General features: G+C 40.1%; 1 protein-coding gene across 13 annotated transcripts in view; it reads left to right on the top strand.

The window, feature by feature from the left end:
* GPATCH8 (G-patch domain containing 8) overlaps positions 1-23,324 on the top strand; it is a 108,126-nt gene that overhangs the window by 36,332 nt on the left and 48,470 nt on the right. For 11 of the 13 annotated variants that reach the window (NM_001304939.2, NM_001002909.4, XM_011524557.2 and 8 more), the window contains one exon: positions 2,531-2,603. The exons of the other annotated variants lie outside the window; for them this stretch is intronic. In NM_001304939.2, coding sequence (NP_001291868.1) covers positions 2,531-2,603 — 73 coding nt within the window. The remainder of the gene's footprint in view (positions 1-2,530; positions 2,604-23,324) is intronic. 13 annotated transcript variants of the gene reach the window in all.

Genomic DNA, 23,324 nt, shown 5'->3' with positions numbered 1-23,324 from the left:
TCCACTTGCACTGCTTTTGGAAATAGCATACTGCTTCATCTGTCTGTTTATTTGAGTGCATTCATAATATAACACAATCAGCATAATGTCTCATCTCCACTTAGCCAAAGATTGAGTTTTCTTTAAAAAAGAAACAACAACAACAACAACAAAATGGAGGGGGGGGGAGCAACAATTTTTGTCAGCATTGTTTAATGCCTAAATCTTGGTGCCAAATATAGTTATGAGTCTGTTAAGAGATTAAACAATTATCTGATAAACCATATACTCTTAAAGTCATTCTGCTATCCTTGTCCTTCCTAGAATTATTCAGTTGTAGGAATTATGATATGAAATAAGGATTTTCTGCACAGGTAAGTTTGTTTTCATAGTAGTAAAATAAGGGCCTGTTTACCTTTTTGTTTTCTGCTAACATTACTTATATTGAGACTTTTAATCTTTTCTGTTTTAGGGGGTAATAAAGTTATAAATAGTCAGACACTGAACACTGGGTAAGGGAATGTTTTTCCTGGCAGTTCAGTTAGGAGGGGGGAAGGGAAGAAGCCCCAGCAGCCAGTAGTGTTATATTATATTTTTGTGATGTGTAGTAATGTGGAAGTCAGTGCTTGGGATCAGTAGTGTTTCTAATTCTTTCAAATGGTATAGAGCAAAAATAACTTGCAGCACACTTTTGTGCACCATAATGATTTTATATGTATATTTGAAACAATATGTTTTGTTTTAGAAACAAATTTTTCGTTATAATTTGCCTCCAGTTTTTGCTTTTAGAAAAGTATCCTGGGTTCATGCCTGTAATCCCAGTACTTTGAGAGGCTGAGGAGGGAGGATTGCTTGAGCCCAGGAGTTCTAGATCATCGTGGGCAACATAGTGAAACCTCATCTCTACAAAAAATAAAAAAATTATCCAGGCATAGTGTTGTGCGCCCATACCTCCCAGGCTGAGGTGGGAGGATTGCTTGAGCCCAGGAGGTCAAGGCTGCAGTTAGCTATAATTGCACCACTGTACACCAGCCTGGGCAGCAGAGCAAGATGCTGTATCAGAAAAAAAAAAGTCCTGGTTTTCCCCCATCAATGAAATAATTAGCTGTTTAGCCCAGTTTTCCAGGTTGCATGCTGTCATAAACTTACAGAAGAAAATGGTCCTTAAACAAACAAACAAACAGAGCATTCGGGAGGCTTAATCTTCTTCTAACTTCTAGTTAGGGAAGGTAACAGTAAAAAAATGTTTTTCTTTCCTCTATGAGTTCAAAGAACACTTTATCATTGAATATGGAGATGCCAGACAGTTTAATGTGCAATATTTGGTTTTAATGCAGAAATTTGTGGTTTCGTCAGCTTTATAAATTGATTTCAGGAAATATGGGATTTTCAAATGATTTACCTTTGTTTTCTGCTAACATTACTTATATTGTGACTTTTAATCTTTTCTGGATTAATACTATAAATTACATTTTAATACATATAGAATACTTTGTGTTTAGAATTTTTCAGTGTTGTCCATTGGGTGAATATGATCATTTTTTCTGATACAGTTAGTGCTTATTTTAGCCTTGTCTTGGTACTTCACAATAACTGTAAAAAGCAAAGAATTGGACAAAGAAAGGGCTGCAGATGTTTCCAATACCTTGACCCCTTAAACGAAAGCTGACATTTAATTGTTGTTTGTAGCATTTTTTTCATGCAGTTTACATTGAAATACCTTTTCGAATGTGCTCCTGGGAAGATGAGACATTATGTATGTTGGTTTCTACCCCTACATGCACTAATGGTTCTTTACTGTTAACTTATTGCTAGGCCTGTTTCATTCTAACATCTTAGCATTTTTGTTAGACTACATGTTGAAATGCATCACTCAGTCTGTGCTTGAGCTCATTTTATTTTTCTGTTTAATCAACTTAATTTCTTGTTTTACTAACCTCACTGTTTTTTCAGTTTAATATTGGCTGCATGCTAGTTAAATATTTATATTATATATATTATTTTTTTAAACCAATCAAGTCTAGCCTGGATTTTGCTCTGATTGTTTTTTCATTTCTAGTGGTGGGGCAGTCTTACACTTATAACTTACTTTGTATCATGAAAGCCTGACACATAAACAAAACAACTAAACACAGTGTAGATTTTCTTTAAAAAAAAAAAAATCTTAAAGTGGTGCTGTTTAGGTGGTGGATATGACTGTATAAGTACCTTGATTTTATGCTTTTTAGTGTTATTTTAAAACTTCATAAATGTATTCTTCCCCTTTTCCCTTTCCCCTTTTACTCCATTTAAAAATGTTATATACAAAAGTTGCCCAACACACCATCAGAAAGGACCCTTACCCCATATGTTCTTCCCATGTAAAATACTAGCCAGCTTTTCTTTTTACATTAATGTCCCTCTTATTGGGCACATTTACCCTATTATTAGCACCTTTTTGCATGCATATATGTAGAAGTATCTCTTGCTCATCATCTGTTTAAATGTCTCTAGGAAGGGAAGAATATATTATTGGAATATTTTTGGTTTGTCTCTCTGTTCTGTCTGTCAGGATAATATTGGACACCGCTTACTCCAGAAACATGGGTGGAAGCTGGGCCAGGGATTGGGAAAATCTCTTCAGGGTAAGTGTTTACATTTACCAGAGAAAAAGGAAGAAAACCATTTCTGATGCAGATCTTGTACCTGAATGTATTTGTTGTGTTTTTAAAAAAGTACTTGGGTTTCTCCCTACTACCTTTTTCCCCTTAGAGTAGTCTGTTTGTCCTATAACTGTATTTTAAGTCACTGTTAAGCCTCTATATTTGCCAGTAATTTGCAAGAGTAAGCTGCTGTGTCATCGAAACTTTCAAGTCAAACATACTGTGTGTGGCTCAGCCTGTTTTAAATTTTTTTTTTGGTGGAGGTGATGGGTGAGTGGAGTAAAAGGAATGCAAAATATCAGAGTATGCTTTCTTTGTGCTATTTAGTAATGTATTCTGGCTTCAGTATTATAAAGAGAATCATTCAGTAGCAGAATTTAATTTTTATTCTTTTAAATTCTCCCTGAAGCTGGTGATTGCCCTGGCTCTTTTGCTCTGCAATAAGAAATTTATGTAGTGGTAGAGAAGAAAAATTAACCTCCATGAAACATAAAATGAAAGCAGAGGTTTTTGAGGGCTCTCTGAGCAGAGAGGTTATTTCTCAGGTTCCTATCAAGGTCTGGAAAATGTATGGCTTAAAGTTTCCATTGCATTTGTTACTCTGTTTATACCAGTCATTTGTATTAAAAACAAAATACTAATATTTCAGCTTCTGAGTTCTCCCTAGTTGGAAACCAACCAACTGCGTTCTCTTTTTAGCTTTCTCAGATTCAAGAGCTACTGTTTGTTCTTTGCAGATGTGATATGAATGCTACCTCAGAAATTATGGGAATTGGCCGGGCGCGGTGGCTCACGCCTGTAATCCCAGCACTTTGGGAGGCCGAGGCAGGTGGATCATGAGGTCAGGAATTCAAGACCAGCCTGGCCAACTGGTGAAACCCCATCTCTACTAAAAATACATAAATTAGCCAGGCGTGGTGGCACATGCCTGTAGTCCCAGCTTGGGAGCCTGAGGCAGAGAATTGTTTGAACCTGGAAGGCGGAGGTTGCAGTGAGCCAAGATCGTGCACCTGTACTCCAGCCTGGGCAACAGAGTGAGACTCCGTCTCAAAAGAAAAGAAAAAAATTACGGGAATCGTTGTGCCTCTACATCTGGTCATGCGGGAGCTTATTGTATAATAGGCATCTTTGGGGAGAAGTGTGCTACTGTTGACTAATTCTTTGAATTCAGGAAATGGATTTTCAGTTTGAATGCCAAAGTCTGATCAATTCAAGTGTGTTGAGAGGAACACAAGGACAGGTGCAGTGGCTCATGTCTGTAATCCCAGCAGTTTGGGAGGTTGAGGCAGGAGGACTGTTTGAGGCCACGTGTTCAAAACCAGCCTGGGTGAGATAGCAAGACCCTGTCTTGATCTTTTAAAAAAGAAAAAATTAATTAATTAATTAAAAAGAGAGAAACCAGGAGGACAGGGCTTGAAATAGGATGTTTCAGTTATTTATTTATTTATTTATTTATTTATTTATTTATATTTTGAAGTGGAGTCTCGCTCTGTCGCCCAGGCTAGAGTGCAGCGGCGCGATCTCGGCTCATTGCCAGCTCCACCTCCCGGGTTCACGCCATTCTCCTGCCTCAGCCTCCCAAGTAGCTGGGACTACAGGCGCCTGCCACCACGCCCAGCTAATTATTTGTATTTTTATAGAGACGGGGTTTCACCGTGTTAGCCAGGATGGTCTCGATCTCCTGATCTCGTGATCCGCCCGCCTCGGCCTCCAAAAGTGCTGGGATTATAGGTGTGAGCCACCGCGCCTGGCCAGGATGTTTCAGTTATTAAAACCTTTAATTTTAAAATTCTACTTCTACAAATTCTATTGACTGGTGACACATGGGAGATGCTCAATAAATATGTTTTAATGAAATATTCATTACTAAGCATTAACCTATTCTTCTGGGGAAATAGAAGATTTAATTACCTTTAAACTTGTTTTCCAGTGGCACAAGAACTCTTTACAAACAATACAAAGAATACTCTGATTAAGAGCAATTCGTATGGGATAGACCACAGATTTTGTAAGAGCCCAGAAGAGAGAAGATAATCAGGACTGAAATGGAGATGGCTTTTTGATAGAATTTGTCCCAGTGGTTTGCATAGTTTTAAGTGTTGGGTTGACTTGAATGGAGGTGATTGTTTTAGAAGAAGGTCAGAAGACTAGATTTGCTTTTCTCTCCAATTTGAAATACCTCTTCTATTCGAGGACACCCAGGAACATTGTTGATTGTTATTCTCTTTGTTCAGGCACACAAGGTGGGGCTGGTTCATAGTGGCTAGCAAATCTGTTTGAATCCCAGAATTTTTTATGTTAAGCATCAGAGACTTTAAAGTACAACTAGAACCTGCAGAGAGAAAGGAGGGAGAAGAGATAGATAATGTGTTTAAGAAAGGATAGGTAAATGGCTACTCACCTACTTTGGATGATCCAAAGTTATTTTCAATTTTTGTTTTTAAGGAGATTTTAGGCAGGGTGCTGTGGCTTATGCCTGTAACCTCAGCACTTTGGGAGGTTGAGGCAGGAGGATCACCTGAGCCCAGGAGTTTGAGACCAGCCTAGGCAACATAGACCCCATCTCTATCTCCCCCTACACCCCACCCCCCAAAAATTAGTTGGGCTTGGTAGTCCATGCCTGTGGTCCCAGTTAAGAGGTTTAAGGTAGGAGGATTGCCTGAGCCCGGAAGGTTGAGGCTGCAGTGACCCTTGATCGCACCACTACGCTCTAGCCTGGGTGACAGAGTGAGACTCTGTCTCACACACACACGAAAAAAAAACAGTTTAGAATTTTGGTTCCCTTTAAACTTTGAGCTTCTTGAAAAGAGGAGTTAGGTTTTATCCATATTTTGCCTCCATCTCCATGGTAACAAGTATATATAGTAAGTACTCAATAACTCATAAATCTATTCATTTAAAAATTCAAGGGAAATTTAAAGCTCATTTGAAGGTTTTTTTTCTTTTTAATTGTTAAAAAACGGATAACATAGCCGGGTGCAGTGGCTAGCGCCTGAAATCCCAGCACTTTGGGAAGCTGAGGCAGAAGGATTACTTGAGGCCAGGAGTTGAGACCAGCCTGGGCAATATAGCAAGACCCCCATCTCTACAAAAAAAAAAAATTAATTGGCTGGACTTGGTGGCACACACCTATAGTCCCAGCTACTAGGGAGGCTGAGGTGGGAGGATCACTTGAGCCCAGGATTTGAAGGATGCAGTGAACTATGATTGGGCCATTGCACTCCAGCCTGGGTGACAGAGCAAGACCCTCTGTTTAAAATAAATAAATAAATAAAATAAAATTCACCCTTTCCAAAACACATAACATAAAATTTAGCATCTTAATCATTTTTAAGTGTACAGTTGTGTATGTGAAGTATATTTACATTGTTGGTGCAAAGTCCATCTGTTTTAAATGATTAGTATCTTTATTCTCCAAAAAGAATGGAGCCTTATTCTGTTTCCAACATTAAGAATTGAGTTTGTTTCATAACTGACTGTTTACTTCCTAGTGTCGGATTCAGCAGTGTACATGCAGGCATTGTGCTGGTTTCTCTCACATACCTCTTTCTATAGTACCCACATAATTTAACCTAGAATATATCCACATTTATTGCATATTGAGGCAATTTATGACAGATTTCTTTGACCATACTAAACCTTTGATATAAATAACCATTCAAAAAAGCCCTGTCACTCTAGTGTAAACAGTAGGCATCGCATGTGATTTCTGGGCTTATGCTTTTGTAAGTTCTTCACATTGACTAGTTCATTGTCAACTTTCCTTTTGATTTGAGTTTAGGACTCTTAACATATCTCACATGCAACCATCCACTAAAATTTTAAGCCTGGTCCTTTTGGGCTTTTTTGTCAAAGCTTTAAAAATTATTTTGACCCATGCAAGGCTTTTGCCAACAAAAGTTGCAGTTCTTGGTGCTCCAGTGCTGATGTCTTGTTACTGAATAGATTGGAGAATAGGGCATGCAGACTCTGGAATGAAGTTATCTGTGGCAGGATATTAAATTGTACTTTGTAAACTGAGTTTATTTTTGTACCCATTTTCTTATTCACATTTCATTCTCCTTTAGTATTTGTTAAAATATTTCAGAAATTTTAAAAAAGTTATTATATATGGCCGATAATTATTAGTATTAAAAAATAAAAGACCTGAAGAAAAGATAATGTTGACAAGATATCTGAAGGAAACAACACAAAAAAAGCACTACTGATGAGAAATATTATGAACAATTGTTTATTATAGAAACAGAGGATATGTTTAATTCAGAATAAAGCAAGAGTGAATGATAGTTGTATTTTGTAGCATTTAGACTGGATTCAGTTCTGGAAATTGTTTTATAACCTTTTGTCAGCTTTGAAATGGAATGTAGTTCAAAATTTTTATTTTTCTGTGAAATACATTTAGTCAATAGGTGTAGCCCAGAAATGGTGCCTGAAGTTTCTTTGTTACATTGTGTAAGTACTATTTGATGATTTGGCTGATTCTTTGGTGACAGACAAAAGTTTAGCTCCTAGGAAAAATGAATGGGGTCTGATATTATTTCCTATCTCACCCTGTTTAGAAGGTTCGATGAGTACATTTAGACAACCAACACATATTTACTGACCTAACACTACATTCTTGTTATACCAGCAGTAAATACCCTAAGACATGGAGAGTAGATAAGACATGGTTCCTGACTTTCAGGTTTATTTCCCAGTCCCTCAAGTCTTGCTTTTTTTTTTAACTGCTGTAGACCTTTGAAGTTTCCTTGAAGCCAAGGATGATGTTTTCTACTTTTGTGCACTCCTTTCATACTTAAATTAAGTATGTGATCAGTCTGAATATTTAATTAAAAAATTGTTTCAACCCCCTTGTGAGTAGGAAGTCTCACTAATTTTTGTGTAAAAGTACTTGGTGCAGGGTGTAATGGCAGTTTGTTAACATTTGGAAATAAAAGATCTGGGTTTGATTTTGGCACTACCATTTCCTATAAGTGAAGGGACAAGGTACCATTACTGAATTATTTTCCTCAGCAATAAATGGATATTAAAATCTCTGCCTGTCTTCTTAAAGAGTAGTTATGAAAACAAAGTAAGTGAACTTGCATTATACAGACTATAAAAATGCCATATATGCTTATTATTAACACCTATTGTATAGTACATAGTTCTTTTAACTGAATTAGAGATAATCCATCCTTAGGGCTTCCAAGATTAACAACAGTAATAGTTAATATTGCTTTATATGTGATAGATGTTGGACTTCAGGATCTGTGCTTTTGATGTTAGATGTGTTTTAGAGCCCCTAAATCCCTAATTTTGGTGTCTGTTTCACTAATTCTGAGCTCACTAGTCATCTCTACTCCTGAGTCTAACTTCTGAAAAATCTAACATCTAGAAAGAGCATCAGTCACTCAGTCGTGGCATTGGAACAACTGAATAACAACCCAGAATTTTAAAAGTTGGGTCCCCATTGTCATTCCTTACCCCACATAGATTCCAGGTGAATGAGAGGTTTAAATGTAAAAAATGAAATCATGAAATTATTAGGATGAACAATGGTAGAATTATTATCTTAAAATAATATTTGAGTAAGAAAAGCTTTTCTGAGCATAACCCAAAACTTAGAAGCCCTTGAGAAAAGGTTAAGGCCAGGCACAGTGACTTAAGCACCTGTAATCCCAGGACTTTGGGAGGCCAAGGTGGGAAGATCACTTGAGGCCAAGGGTTCAAGACCAGCTTGGGCAACAACAAGACCCAGTTCCTAAAAAATTTTAAAAAATAGATTAGCCAGGCATGGTGGCGTGCATCTGTATTCCTAGCTATTTGGAAGGCTGAGGCAGGAGGATCCCTTGACTCCAGGAGTTCGAAGTTGCAGTGAGCTGTGATTGTGCCACTGTACTCCAGCCTGGGCAACAGAGCAAGCCTGTCTCAAAAAAAGGAAAGGATAAGTTTGGCTATATTTCATCATAAACAAAGTCAACAAACAGACTGGGGAAAATATCTGTAATATCTCATTATAGGCAAAGAACAAGTTTCCTTCAGGTATTTATCAGCTTGAGAAAGACCAAAGTTAGCCTGGTAAGATTATGGGAAAATAGGTACTTACATCATAGCCATGAGAATATCAACTAGTGAAAACATTACAGGGAACAACTTGGATTACTTAAAAATTAAAATGGATGTGTTCTTGAATCCAGCTTTTTTTTTTTTTTTTTTCCTTTGAGACAGAGTCTTGCTTTGTTGCCCAGGCTGGAGTACAGTGGCATAATCATAGCTCACTGCAGCCTTGATCTCCTGGGCTCAAGTGATCCTCCTGCCTTAGACCCATGAGTAGTGGGGACTACAGGCGCATGCCACCATGCCTAATTTTTTTTTTTTTTTTTGAAATGGAGTCTCGCTCCATCGCCCAGGCTGGCTGGAGTGCAGTGGCACAATCTCGGCTCACTGCAAGCTCCACCTCCCGGGTTCACGCCATTCTCCTGCCTCAGCCTCCTGAGTAGCTGGGACTTCAGGCGCCTGCCACCGTGTCTGGCTAATTTTTTGTATTTTTTTTTAGTAGAGACGGGGTTTTAGCGTGTTAGCCAGGATGGTCTCCATCTCCTGACCTCGTGATCTGCCCACCTCGGCCTCCCAAAGTGCTGGGATTACAGGCATGAGCCACTGCGCCCGGCGAACGCCTGACTAATTTTTAAGAAATTTCTTGTAGAGACTAGGTCTCACTAGTCTTCCAGGCTGGTCTCGAACTCCTGGGCTCATGTGATCCTCCCACCTTGGACTCCCACAGTGCTGGGATTATAGGTGTGATCCACCATGCCTGGCCTTTTCATGCAATTAACAAAATTTTTAGGATATAAAATTCTTAAGCACATCTTCCTGGTTACTAAATAATTAATATGATTGTTAACACACAGTTGCTTCCTATGTAATAACATGTACATTCCGTTTGTTGATACTGAAGCAGCTTTTTCAAAGTTTTGCTTGTTTTATTTGGAGTGTATCTCCAGACATCTCACACATCGTTTTAAGAACATTGTATTAAGTTTTGGGATTGAAATAAATAAATGTAAAAATTTTACTTTATAAAATCATTAGCCAAAAAATATGTTGAGAGAGATGAACATTCTCTGTAGCTTGTATAGTAAAACTGAGGCATTATTGTGAAATATTAAAATGGTACATTCTGTGGGCATACAGGAGTGTGCCTGTATATTTATGTTTGTATTTACTTGACCATAAAGATAAAATTTTTGTTAAAGATAGACTCTCTGAAGGGAAACTGAGTTGCATTTTACTATATTTTTAAAATTTGGGCCAGTTGCAGTGGGTCACACCTGTAATCCCAGCACTTTGGGAGGCCGAGGCGGGCAGATCACCTGAGGTCAGGAGTTCAAGACCAGCCTGGCCAACATGGTGAAACCCCTTCTCTACTAAAAATATAAAAATTAGCTGGGTGTGGTGGTGCGTGCCTGTAATCCCAGCTACTCAGGAGGCTGAGACAGGAGAATCACTTGAACCCAGCAGTAGAGGTTGTAGTGAGCCGAGATTGCGCCACTGCACTCCATCCTGGGCAACAGAGCGAGACTGTGTCTCAAAAAAAAAAAATTGTTCTGTACTTGTATTACTATTCAAAAAATATAATTGTTTGAGAAAAGACCTAAAGAAGGCAGAATGAAAACAGAGTAGAGTTGGGGGTATTTCTTTGGTTTTATTTATGTATACCTCCTTCCCAGTCTTGTTTCAGTTAGGAAATAAATGGTGAATACAATGTAGGGTAAGGCCTGCATTACATAAGTCTCAAATATGTTTAGACTACATTTTATGACTAAAGGAAAATTAGACTTTTTTTTTTTCCATTGGAGATGAGGTCTTTCTATGTTGTACAGGCTGGTCTCAAACTCCTGGCCTCATGCAGTCTTCCCACCTTGTGCTTACAAAGTGCTAGGATTACAGGCTGAAAACTAGATTTGAATTCAAAAGAATAGAATAGAAACATGTAATGTTACAATTTAGGCTTTATTGTTAAATTAGAATATGAATTAATATTGCACTCACTTCTGGCCTGGTGTGGTGGCTCATGCCTATAATCCCAACACTTTGGGAGGCTGAGGCAGGAGGGTAGCTTGAGGCCAGGAATTTGAGACCAACCTAGACAATATAACAAGACCTCATCTTAACAGAAATAGAAAAATTAACCAGGTGTGATGGCACACGCCTGTAGTCCTAGCTACTTGGGAGGCTGAGGCGAGAGAATCGCTTGAGCCCTACCTAGTGTTGGAGGTTATAGTGAGCTGTGATGTGCCACTGCACTTCCTGCACCTTAGCCTGGGCAACATAGCTAGACCTGTCTCTATAAATAAATAAGCAAGACCTGTCTCAATCAATCACTATAAATATTTTACTGATTTCTTAAGAAAAATCATTTTTTGTCTGGGCGCTATGGCTCACGCCTGTAATCCCAGCACTTTGGGAGGCCGAGGCAGGTGGATCACCTAAGTTCAGGAGTTCGAGACTAGCCTGGCTAACATGGCGAAACCCCACCTCTACTAAAAATACAAAATTAGCGGGGCATGGTGGCGAGTGCCTGTAATCCCAGCTACTCGGGAGGCTGAGGCAGGAGAATTGCTTGAACCCAGGAGGCGGAGGTTGCAGTGAGCTGAGTTCATGCCAATGCACTCCAGCCTGGGTGACAAGAGCGAAACTCTGTCAAGAAAAATCATTTTTTGAGAAAATATTTTCATTAATATTATAGTGACATAGATACATTTTTCTGAAGTCTTTACAGAAGCTAAGTTGTCTTTCTATCTTACTTTCCCTTTTCAATTCATGTTTTCCTTTATAAAAAGGAAATAATGCTTAATATTTATTATGTGCCAAATATTGATCTAGAGTCTGGATGTTTTGCATGGTCTCATTTAATGAAATAGATATTAATATGCTCATTTAATTTTATTTTTTTTAATTTTTTTTTTTTGAGATAGAGTTTCACTCTTGTTGCCCAGGCTGTAGTGCAATGACGCGATCTCGGCTCACCGCAACCTCTACCTCCTGGTTCAAGCGATTCTCCTGCCTCAGCCTCCCGAGTAGCTGGGATTACAGGCATGTGCCACCACGCCTGGCTAATCTTGTATTTTTAGTAGAGATGGGGTTTCTCCATGTTGGTCAGGCTGGTCTCGAACTCCCGAACTCAGGTGATCTGCCCACCTCGGCCTCCCACAGTGCTGGGATTACAGGCGTGAGCCACCATGCCCGGCCACTCATTTTATAAATGGAAAGTTTTGGAAAGATGATACAGCTACCGAGGGTCTGCCATTCAAATATAAGCCTAACTTTGAAATCAATATTTATACCTTTTCCCTTCTTAGGAAAAGCTGATACTGAAAATAGGAATAGGTTGGTGGGGGAATAGCAAATATGTAGCTCCCCCAAATCACAAATCAAGGTATGGATTGTCAGAAAAGCTTAGTTATACACAGAGCTGGTGTATTTGAAGAAGCATGTAGCTATAATCTCTGTTTCCTGCTAATTAAATGGGTCTTGGAGTCTTCATACAGTTGCCAAAGGCAACCATAATTTTAGTTATTCACAATCCACATTTAATAAAATAAAATATAGAGCTTGTAGAGCCTTTGACCTTTTTAATGGAATAAATATAAACTATAGAGAAGAGGCCCAGGTAATAAACAAGATTAGTCAGAATTGGCAGTCTAAGGTAAGAGGTTAGGTTTTAGGGATAAAACAGAAAAGGAAAGGACCGGATGTGGTGGCTCACCCCTGCAGTCCCAGCACTGTGGGAGACCAAAGCAGGAGGATTGCTTGAGGCCAGGAGTTCAAGACTAGCCTGGGGAACATACCCTGTCTCTACAAAAATTAAAATAAATATAAAGATGAAAGGGATTGCAGGAGAGGAGACTGAATGAGAATGATAAACTTGCATGCTGTATAGAAAGGGACTACTTGTTTCTCAGTACGGAGATCATCACATTTAAAGGATAAATGAAAAGACCTTAAATGTGAGTTAAGTCATGGCAAAATAACAATCAGAAAAGAAGTTGCAGTTCCAGTGGCATGTGCCTGTAGTCCTAGCTACTCAAAAGTTTAAGGCAGAGGGATCAGTTGAGCCTGGGAGTTCAAGTCCAGCCTGGGCGACATAGTGAGACCCCTTCTAAAAATTAGGCAAGGTAGTGCACACTTATATTCCTAGCTACTTGGGAGGCTGAGGTGGGAGGATTGTTTGAATCTAGGATTTGAAGGTTACAGCTATGATTGTGCCACTGCACTCCAACCTGGGCAACAGAGCAAGACCTTTTCTCTAAATAATAATAAAATGCTGTAAGTGTTCAAAAGAAGAATAACTAGGGGTGACTTCACTAAGTCCTGAGGAGGGAGGAATAGATATTACCAAAGATAGGAGATACTGATGTATACAAGGTAATTGCAGTTGACAAAGAGTAGGTGTGGCTAATTGGAGCAGATTATGTCCATGGTGTAGTGGATTTTATGCGTTTTTTAACAGAAGAAACCACCTCAATTTTTTTTTTTTGAGGTTAAACTTCAGTATATGAAAGAGGGGGCAACCCAGCAGTTGTTTTGATTGAAGCAGAGTTCTAGGTCTCCAGGAATAGTTTAAAAACTGTAACTAGGCTGGGCACGATGGCTCATGCCTGTAATCCCCAACACTTTGGGAGGCTGAGGTCGAAACATCTCTTGAACTCAGGAGTTTGAGACCAGCCTGGGCAACATAGTGAGACCCTGTCTCTACCAAAAAATAAAAAATAAAAAATTAGCCTGGCATGGTGATGTGCACCCTTAGTCCCAGCTACTTGGTGGTTTAGGTGGGAGGATCACGAGAGGCCATGAAGTTGAGGCTGCAGGGTGCCGTGTCATTGCGAGTGTACTCCAGCCTGGATGACAGTGAGAGCATGTCTCAAAACGCGCGCCTGCACACACACACACACACACACACACACACACCCCTACCTACCTACCTACCTACAACTAGAAGGGAGAAATGGGAAATATTAATATAGGCACAAATCTCATATATGCTAAGCACTTAACAAATATCTCATTTAAATCTTATAATAAGCCCCTGAGAGAATTACTGTTGTCCCATTTTGTGGAAGAAACTGAGTCTTAGAGAAGTCCAATATGTTGCCCAAGGGTAAGCAACCAGTAAACTATAGAATCAGGATTCAGATCTCAGTCCTTCTGCCTCCAAAGCTCATGCCACACTGAATGTGGAAGGCCTTAATGCTCCTCCAATCTGGAATTGTATTTTGTAAGCCAAAGACACCTTGATCAGAGCAGAGGTATAGACTTACAGCCAGAAGAGATACTGAAGGCCGGGTGTGGTGGCTCACGCCTGTAATCCTTGCACTTTGGCAGGCCAATGTGGGTGGATGCTTGAGCTCAGGAGTTCGAGACCAGCCTGGGCAACATGGCAAAACCCCATCTCTACTTAAAATGCAAAGAAAAAATTAGCTGGGCGTGATGGCATGTGCCTGTAGTCCCAGCCACCTGGGAGAATGAGGTGGGAGAATCGCATGAGCCCAGAAGGTCGACGAGGTTGCAGTGAGCTGAGATCATGCCACTGCACTCCAGCCTGAGTGACAAAGTAAGACCCTATCTCAGAAAAAAAAAAAAAGATATTGAAGATAAGTTAAAACTCACTATACAGTTGAGAAATTTATTTTTAGGGTTCCAAAATGTTTTAATGATAGGGCTGAAACCCAAACCCAAATTCTTTGATTTGCCATCGAAATCTCTTTTCATTATCCCAGCCAGGCATTGGTGATGGAAATAAAATAATAGTCTGCTCAAAGAATGTCTGAGGATGGAGATGGAAAACCATTTAGAAAGTTGTCTGGGTATGAGTATAGATAAGGACTTGAAAGAGTAATAGTGGAAATGGAAAGGAAGGAATAACTATGAAGGCTGATAAAACAGGTCAACTATGAAGACAATATATAGTCAGTTTATGCACATGTTTGACTAGCAAGCCCCTATTCACTAGATTTAGTGTTAATCTTTTATAATAGCCATCATTTATTAAGTGTTTACTGAGTGCTTGGACATGGATTTTCTAACTTAAATCCTCTTTGAGGTAGATACTCCCATTTTACCCAAAGAGCATTTTACCAAAAGATCTTTGCCCAAGATCTTTTTTCCTTTTTTTTTTTTTCTTTTTTTTTTTTTTTTTGAGACGGAGTGTTGCTCTGTCACCCAGGCTGGAGTGCAGTGGTGCAGTCTCGGCTCACTGCAACCTCCACCTCCCTGGTTCAAGCAATTCCCCTGCCTCAGCCTCCCAACTAGCTGAGATTATAGGTGCATGCCACCACACCTGACTAATTTTCCTGTATTTTTATTAGAGACGGGGTTTCACTATGTTGGCCAGACTGGTCTCAAACTCCTGACCTCGGGCAATCCGCCCGAATCGGCCTCCCAAAGTGCTGGGATTACAGGCTTAAGCCACCACGCCCAGCCTGCCCAAGATCTTACAGCAGATAAGTGGTAGAATCTTGGTGCCAAAACCTATGCTTTTAACCAATATGCTGTAATGTACCTAAACTGTAGGTGCTAGCTTACTTCCCTATCCTGGAGAGATATGATGGTGGTGAGAAATACCAGTGCCACCGAATTGAAATATACAGTAGTTATTCAGGCCAGAAAAAGTGGAGATAATTCTGAATGTGATATATTCTCGTAGGGCACTTGAAGTGGTCATATATATTCTTCATGATGAGTATAAATTCACTAGAAACTTAAGGCTAAAGTTGAGTGGTAAGAACTTTTGCCAAATATTTAGGGATGGAAATTGGTGTCCAGGGAAAAAGAAAATACTGTAACTTATGTCTCATACTATAATTTCCTCCCTGACTTCTACTTTCTGTTTCTCTCCTGTGGCATTTTAAATATTCAATCTTGTATAATTTTTGTTGATGTGTCTCTTTTACCTAATTCAGTAGACTGTAAATTCCTAAAGGATAGTAATTACTGTGCATTTATGTATTCTCTGTTGCTGTTTTTCTTGTTTTGTATTCTGCATATGTTTATTGCATGCTTAAAAGGTGCCAGATCTGGGTTGGGTGTGGTGGCTCACGACTGTAATCACAGCTCTATGGGAGGACGAGGCAGGTGGATCACTTGAGGCTAGGAGTTCAAGACCAGCCTGGCCAACATGGCGAAACCCTCTCTACCAAAATATACAAAAATTAGCCAGGCATGTTGGTGCACGCCTGTAATCCCAGCTACTTGGAAGGCTGAGGCATGAGAATAGCTTGAACTCAGGAGGCGGAGGTTACAGTGAGCCGCCTGGGTGACAGAGTAAGACTCTGTCTCCAAAGAAAAAGAGAAAAAGAATGTGCCAGATCTGTACTAAGTCTTTAAGAGTGAATAAGATAGAACCTCTGCCCTCCAGAGGTTTATTTCTAATAGGGAAACAAATAATGTAACAAATTTAATACAGTATAATGATTGTTTTAATTGTGAAGTTAAAGGTACAGTGGAAGCTTAATAGAGAATTGAGCAATTTAAGTTATAATTTCAAATTTTTTATAATAATTAACAAGTGAAAAGTCTCAGATTGTGAGAATAAAGAAGCAACCAACTATTTTCTATCTGTGCATCTATACTTGCTGATAGATACATGGAGTACAGGTGTCTGTGAGTTAGTGGAATCTCTTTATTCTTCCATGAGAAGCGTTGGTATTTTAAAGTGGAATGAAATCTGAAAATGATAAGAACATAAAGTAAAAAGTGTTTTATAATAAACATATTTTATTAAAATCTTTCAAAAGTTCATTTAAAATTTACCACCAAAATTCAAAACAATGGCACTTAAAACACTCGGAAAAGAGAACAAAGTGTAATATATTTTTATGTAGTATTTCAAATGTAGTTTATTAGTTTTAAATCCAGTATTTCCTTTCTCACTAAATCTTCCCAAACCAGTAGATAGAAATCCCACTTGGTTTTCTTGTAAATCCCATTTGGTTCAAAAGGAGGGAGCAAAGAATGTAGACCTGAAGTAGGAGTTGGGGCCCGATGATAGCATACGTTGTTGAAATTGAGTGAGTGTGAGACAATAGCAAGTGGTGTGAGTTTTGCTGTGTTTAGAGAAGGTAATTGTTGCCACCTAAGATTATAATCTCAGTGTTGCTGGATCTTCTAAAATTGTTAAAAGCAGCCAGGAATTCAGATTCCTTTTCTGTGAAATGTTCTAATTGATAAATGTTGGCTTGAAGTCTAAAATAATGAAATTAAACAAAACATACCAGGCTGTATTTGAACCGCAAGTTACTACTTTGTGAGCTCATCTGAAATTTCACCTGGGTTCAATTCTAACTCTGCAACTAGTAAGCACTGTGACCTTGCTATACCCTCCATATAGCCATATTTTTACAAGATTTGGGGGTGTCAGGAATTAAATATGGCTATATGTTTTATATACCTATATATTTCTCTCTCCAGTATATAGAATAAGACATAATGCCACTTAAAAGATTGAGAAACTTAAATGTTTATCTGAGGTGAAACTGCTAAGGATAGGAGCTACCTTTACTAAACAAGTCTTCTTACTTCTACCCCAGTGCTTTTTCCATTATTAGTCTTATGGCTTTCAGCAGAATCACCTTGGGTTCTTGTTAAAAATGTAGATTCAGGCCGGGTGCAGTGGCTCACGCCTGTAATCCCAGCACTCTGGGAGGCTGAGGCGGGCGGATCACCTGAGGTCAGGGGTTCAAGACCAGCCTCAACATGGAGAAACCCCGTCTCTACTAAAAATACAAAATTAGCCGGGCGTTGTGGTGCATGCCTGTAATCCCAGCTACTCGGGAGGCTGAGGCAGGAGAATTGCTTGAACCTGGGAGGCGGAGGTTGCGGTGAGCCAAGATCACGCCATTGCACTCCAGCCTGGGCAACAAGAGTGAAACTCTGTCTCAGGAAAAAAAAAAAAAAAAAGTAGATTCTGAGGCTGAGTGCAGGGGCTCACGCCTGTAACCCCAGCACTTTGGGAGGCTGAGGTGGGAGGATGGCTTGAGTTCAGAGTTCAAGACCAGCCTGGGCCACATAGCAAGAGTTTGTATCTACTGAAAAAGAAAACAAGCAAAAAATTTAATGTCGATTCTGACCAGCATAAATCAGCAGGTCTGGGGTAGGGTTCAGGAAATGATATTTTATTTTATTTATTTATTTTTTGGAGACAGTTTCGCTATTGTTGCCCAGGCTGGAGTGCAGTGGTGCGATCTCGGCTCACTGCAACCTCTGCCTCCCGGGTTCAAGTGATTCTTCTGCCTCAGCCTCCCAAGTAGCTGGGATTACAGGCATGTGCCATCACGCCTGGCTAATTTTTGTATTTTTTAGCAGAGACAGGGTTTCACCATGTTGGCCAGGCTAGTCTCGAACTCCTAACCTAAGGTCATCCACCCGCCTCAACCTCCCAAAGTGCTGGGATTACAGGCGTGAGCCACCACGCCTAGCCCAGGAAATGATATTTTAAATATCCCCTTGCCCCATTTTTTAATGCAAATAGAATGGATCAGGGCTAGAAAAACATTCTTTTGGACCATATGAATAACAGGCTTCTAAGAAAATTACCTTCATTATAGTAAATAGGGTGGACAGTTTTTTTTTTTAAATTTATCCAAAATGTATTGGTTACACTAAAGTAGTATAGTGCTGTTTATTTTTTTTTTTTTATAGTCTTAGCCTTAGCCTAATTTACATTGTTTCCTATCTTAGTATTCATAGACTTTTGGACCTAGGTTAGTTTGCCTTATTAAAATGACACTGGGTTAGTAGGATACTTAGGCAAGAGAGTGGAGTGTCCAGGAAGCTTCTTAAGTGAGCAAAAGGGTATATAGTGATAGTGGTTTGTTTCTTCTTCTTCTTCTTCTTCTTCCTCTTCCTCTTCTTCTTCCTCTTCCTCTTCTTCTTCCTTCTTCTTCTTCCTCCTTCTTCCCCCCCCCCCCTTTTTTTTTTTTTTGGCTCACGTGATCCTCCCACCTCAGCATCCTGTGTAGCTGTAGCTGGGAATATAGGCATTTGCCACCATGTCTGGCCAATTTTTAAATTTTTTTCATAGAGACAGGGTCTCCCTATGTTGCCTAGATTGGTCTGGAACTCCAGGGCTCAAGCTGTCATCCTGCCTCAGCCTCCCAAAGTGCTGGGATTATAGGCGTGAGCCACCATACCCAGCCTGTAATACTTTGATTATTGATCATAGATAATAATTTTCTCCATCTGTAAATGGGGTTGTTTCATTACCATCAAATTGTATGTAAAACATTTGGAAATTATCACAGATTCTGTTTTAGAGTATCTTTCATTTTAAGGTATTTACTTTCAAAAATGCCAAATTTAAATTAGCCGGGCTTGGTAGTGGGCTCCTGTAATCCCAGCTACTCAGGAGGCTGAGATAGGAGAATCGCTTGAACCTGGGAGGCAGAGGTTGCAGTGAGCTGAGATCACGCCACTGTACTCCAGCTGGGGCAACAGAGTGAGTGAGACCCTGTCTCACAAACAAACACCCCCAAAATGTCTAATTTGGAAATAAAAGGAAGACTAATTTCTTTATTTTCTGAACCCTTGAGCGTTCTGCATAGTGATTTAAAGTTTACAAAATATCTTCCATTTGTTGTCTCTTTTGGTCTGTATGCCAGTCCTAAAAAGGGGGATGGGGTAGGTGTGGTGTGATGGCTTATGCCTGTAGCCCTAGCTACTTGGGAGGTTAAGGCAGGAGGATTGCTTGAGCCCAGGAGTTTGAGGCTGCAAGTGAGCTATGATTGTGTGACTGCACTCTAATCTCCAGCCTGAGCCATAGAGCTAGAACCTGTCTTAAAAAAAAAAAAAAAAAGGTGGTGATAATATTTTCATTTTGCAGAGGAGGCTGCTGAGACTCAGGCTCTGCTTGCCAAAAGTCACACAAGTGTCTAGCTATTATCTCTTATTGGAGAGCTAAGCTTTGCAGCCCAGTCTTTTTTAGGGATTGCCTAGAAAAATATAGGAAGAAGTTTATTGGCTGGGTGCGGTGGCTCACACCTGTAATCCCAGCACTTTGGGAGGCTGAGGCGGGCAGATCACGAGGTCAGGAATTCAAGACCAGCCTGGCCAATATAGTGAAACCCTGTCTCTACTAAAAATACAAAAATTAGCCAGGCATGGTGGCACGTGCCTGTAGTCCCAGCTATTCAGGAGGCTGACTGAGGCAGGAGAATTGCTTGAACCCAGGAGGTAGAGGTTGCAGTGAGCCAAGAGTGTGCCACTGTACTCCAGCTTGGGCAACAGAGTGAGACTGTCTTAAAAAAAAAAAAATTTTTTTTTATTAAACATGAAATGGAGGCCAGGTGCGGTGGATCACACCTGTAATCCCAGCACTTTGGGAGGCCAAGGCGGGCAGATCACTTGAGGTCAGGAGTTCGAGACCAGCTTGGCCAACATGGTGAAACCCCATCTCTACTAAAACACAAAGAAATTAGCTGGGCATGGTGATGCATGCCTGTAATCCCAGCTACTCAGGAGACTGAGGCAGGAGAGTCACTTGAACCTGCGAGGCGGAGGTTGCAGTGAGCCAAGATTGTGACACTGTGCTCCAGCCTGGGTGACAGAGTGAGACTCAGTCTTTAAGGAAAAAAAAATAGATGAAATGGAGGAGTTGCAGTGGAAAGTTAAATGAGGCTGGAAAGTTTTGGGGTAATGGAGTGATCCTGGAATAGTAAAATTTTCAGTGTAGCTATGGAAAAACAATAGTAAGTTTAAGAAGGCATTTGATTGTTGGCTTATTATAGTATCACAAGACTGGCTGCTGTCTACATAATCCCCCCAGATATTTTCTACTCAAATATTTTCCACTCTTCAAACTTTAGAATTGTGAAGTGAACCTTATAGATTTGTCTAACTCCTTTATTTTTAAGACAGAGTCTCACTCTGTCGCCCAGGCTGGAGTGCAGTGGTGTGAACTCGGCTTCACTGCAAGCTCCACCTCCCGGGTTCACACCATTCTCCTGTGTCAGCCTCCCGAGTAGCTGGGACTACAGGCGCCTGCCACACGCCTGGCTAATTTTTTGTGTTTTTAGTAGAGACTGGGTTTCGCCGTGTTAGCCAGGATGGTCTCGATCTGCTGACCTCGTGATCTGCCCGCCTCGGCCTCCCAAAGTGCTGGGATTACAGGCGTGAGCCACTGCGCCTGGCCTTTAACTCCTCTATTTTTGGATCACGAAACTAATATAGGCGGCATGGTGACTCACACCTGTAATCCCAGCACTTTGTGAGGTTGAGGCAGAAGGATAACTCGAGGCTAGGAGTTTGAAACCAGCCTGGGCAACATAGTGAGACACCATCTCTACAAAAAAAAATTTTTTTTTTTTTAATTAGCCACACATGGTGGTGAGTGCCTGTAGTCCTAGCTACTTAGGAGGCTGAGGTGGGAGGATCACTTGAGCCCAGGAGTTCAGTGTTACAGTAAACTATGATGACTTCACTGCATTCCGTCCTGCCTAGGCAACAGGGTGAGATTCTGTCTCTAAAAATAAAAAGAAATTAATAGCTAATAATGGGTCACATGCCCCATTAGTGACAGAACTGTAATTCAGATCCCCTGAGTTTCATGTTGCCACTCTTTACAAGTATATTTTTTCTTTTGGAATTCATTAATCAAGAAATACTCATGTAGGCTGGGCACAGTGGCTCATGCCTGTAATCCCAGCACTTTGGGAGTATGAGGTGGGTGGATCACCTGAAGTCAGAAGTTCGAGGCCAGCCTGGCCAACATGGTGAAACCCCGTCTCTACTAAAAATACAAAAAATTAGCCACCTGGTGGCGGGCACCTGTAATCCCAGCTACTCAGGAGGCTTGAGGCAGGAGAATCGCTTGAACCTAGGAAGTGAAGGTTGCAGTGAGCCGAGATCGCGCTGTTGCACTCCAGCCTAGGCAACAAGAGTGAAACTCCATCTTAGGGGGGGAAAAAAAAAAAAGAAAAAGAAATACTCACATAGATTGGAGCTCACTGGTAATTTTTGGTCTACCTACATGTATATAGGAGTGTACTGGGTACTTGAAGGAAGCCATTAATTTTTACTGTGACCTGTTTTTTAAAAAGAGGAAAAATGTTTTCAGAATTTCTAACAGACCACTTACCCTAAACCTAATTTCCTGGAAAACACCATTATTATGGGGGCTGACTTGAGGTTTTCCTTCACTGAAACTGGTTATGGCAACTTTCCAATTCAGTTTTTTAAAAGTTTGTCGATATATGTTGAATGTAAGTTCTTTAGTATTTTTTTCTTAAACATTTGATGCTTCCTTCTCCTTGACTACTGAGTGATAACAAGAAATGAAATTGAACAAGCCTTAAGGCTCTAATGACCAGTAATGTAAAACTCAAATATTTCATTATAAAAGTTTACATATTTTTTGATATATGGAGACCTTTCTAATATAGTGATATGTTCTACTTGATAAAATAATTCCTTGATTATGAGAGTTAAATCATTAGTATCTTGTGATGTTAAGCGGCGCGCATCATGATGACTAAGTATTTACAGTTGAACAAGTTTCAGACCCGCTACGAACATGTTCATTCTCTGAGTCAACAAATGCTTTTTAACTAAATGCCATTCTGGCCTACATACTGTGTCAGATATGGATATAAACATAAGTAAAACTCAGGGCACAAAAGTGCTACCACTTTTTTTCCCCCCGTGAGATGGAGATTCTCTCTTGTTGCCCCAGACTGGAGTGCAATGGTGTGATCTCGGCTCACTGCAACTTCTGCCTCCCAGTTTCAAGTGATTCTCCTGCCTCAGCCTCCCAAGTAGCTGGGATTACAGGAACATGCCACCACGCCCAGCTAATTTTTGTATTTTAAATGCAGACGAGGTTTTGCCATGTTGGCCAGGCTGATCTCGACCTCCTGACCTCAAGTAGTCTGCCTGCCTTGGCCTCCCACAGTGCTGGGATTACAGCCGTGAGCCACCATGCCTGGCCTTTTTTTTTTCTTTAAACTAAAGACTTAACTGTTTTTTTCCGTATCTCCTCAGCCCCATGTTTTAGACTATTTTACCCCAAAATTGTATTTATTAATTTGGCTTTCCCATTTGAAAAAACAAATTGATCTTAGCATGGTGGTTAGCTTGAGGCAATCTTTAGTGAGTCAGTATAATTTTAGCTAAAACAGTTGTATCTCATGTAAAAGTATGATTTTCTTTAGGTTTTTTTTTTTTAATTGAAAGTAACTCATGAATTCTCTTTATTATCTCTTCTAAGGGCTTGAGGATATCATGTTATCCCTGGATGAGATATCCTTCCCAGGCCTAACATTCTGATTTAACAACACTTTCACTAAAGCCTTTTGCCCCACCTTTGTTCCTGTTTATTAATATATTTAGTTATATGATTAAAATTGAACTATTTTATCCTAGATGGAAAGTATCAGATGGAAATTCGTTTAGGTCATAATTAAACTTGTGTGCCTTAGAAAACATCTGTATTTGAAAATCAAATTGGCCAGGCACCATGGCTCATGTCTGTAATCCCAGCACCTTGTGGGGCCAAAGTGGGCAAATTGCTTGAGCTCAGAAGTTCAAGAACAAACTGGGCGGGCAACATGGTGAAATCCCGTCTCTACAAAAAATAACAAGAATTAGCCACATGTGGTGGTGTGCACCTGTAGTCCCAGCTTCTTAGGAAGCTGAGATGGGAGGATTACTTGAGCCCAGGAGGTTGAG

This window comes from Homo sapiens, chromosome 17 (genome assembly GCF_000001405.40).
Source record: "Homo sapiens chromosome 17, GRCh38.p14 Primary Assembly".
Classification (NCBI taxonomy): Eukaryota; Metazoa; Chordata; class Mammalia; order Primates; family Hominidae; genus Homo; species Homo sapiens.
The sequence above is the reverse complement of the archived record's forward strand: the minus strand, read 5'-3'. Positions and strand labels throughout refer to the sequence as shown.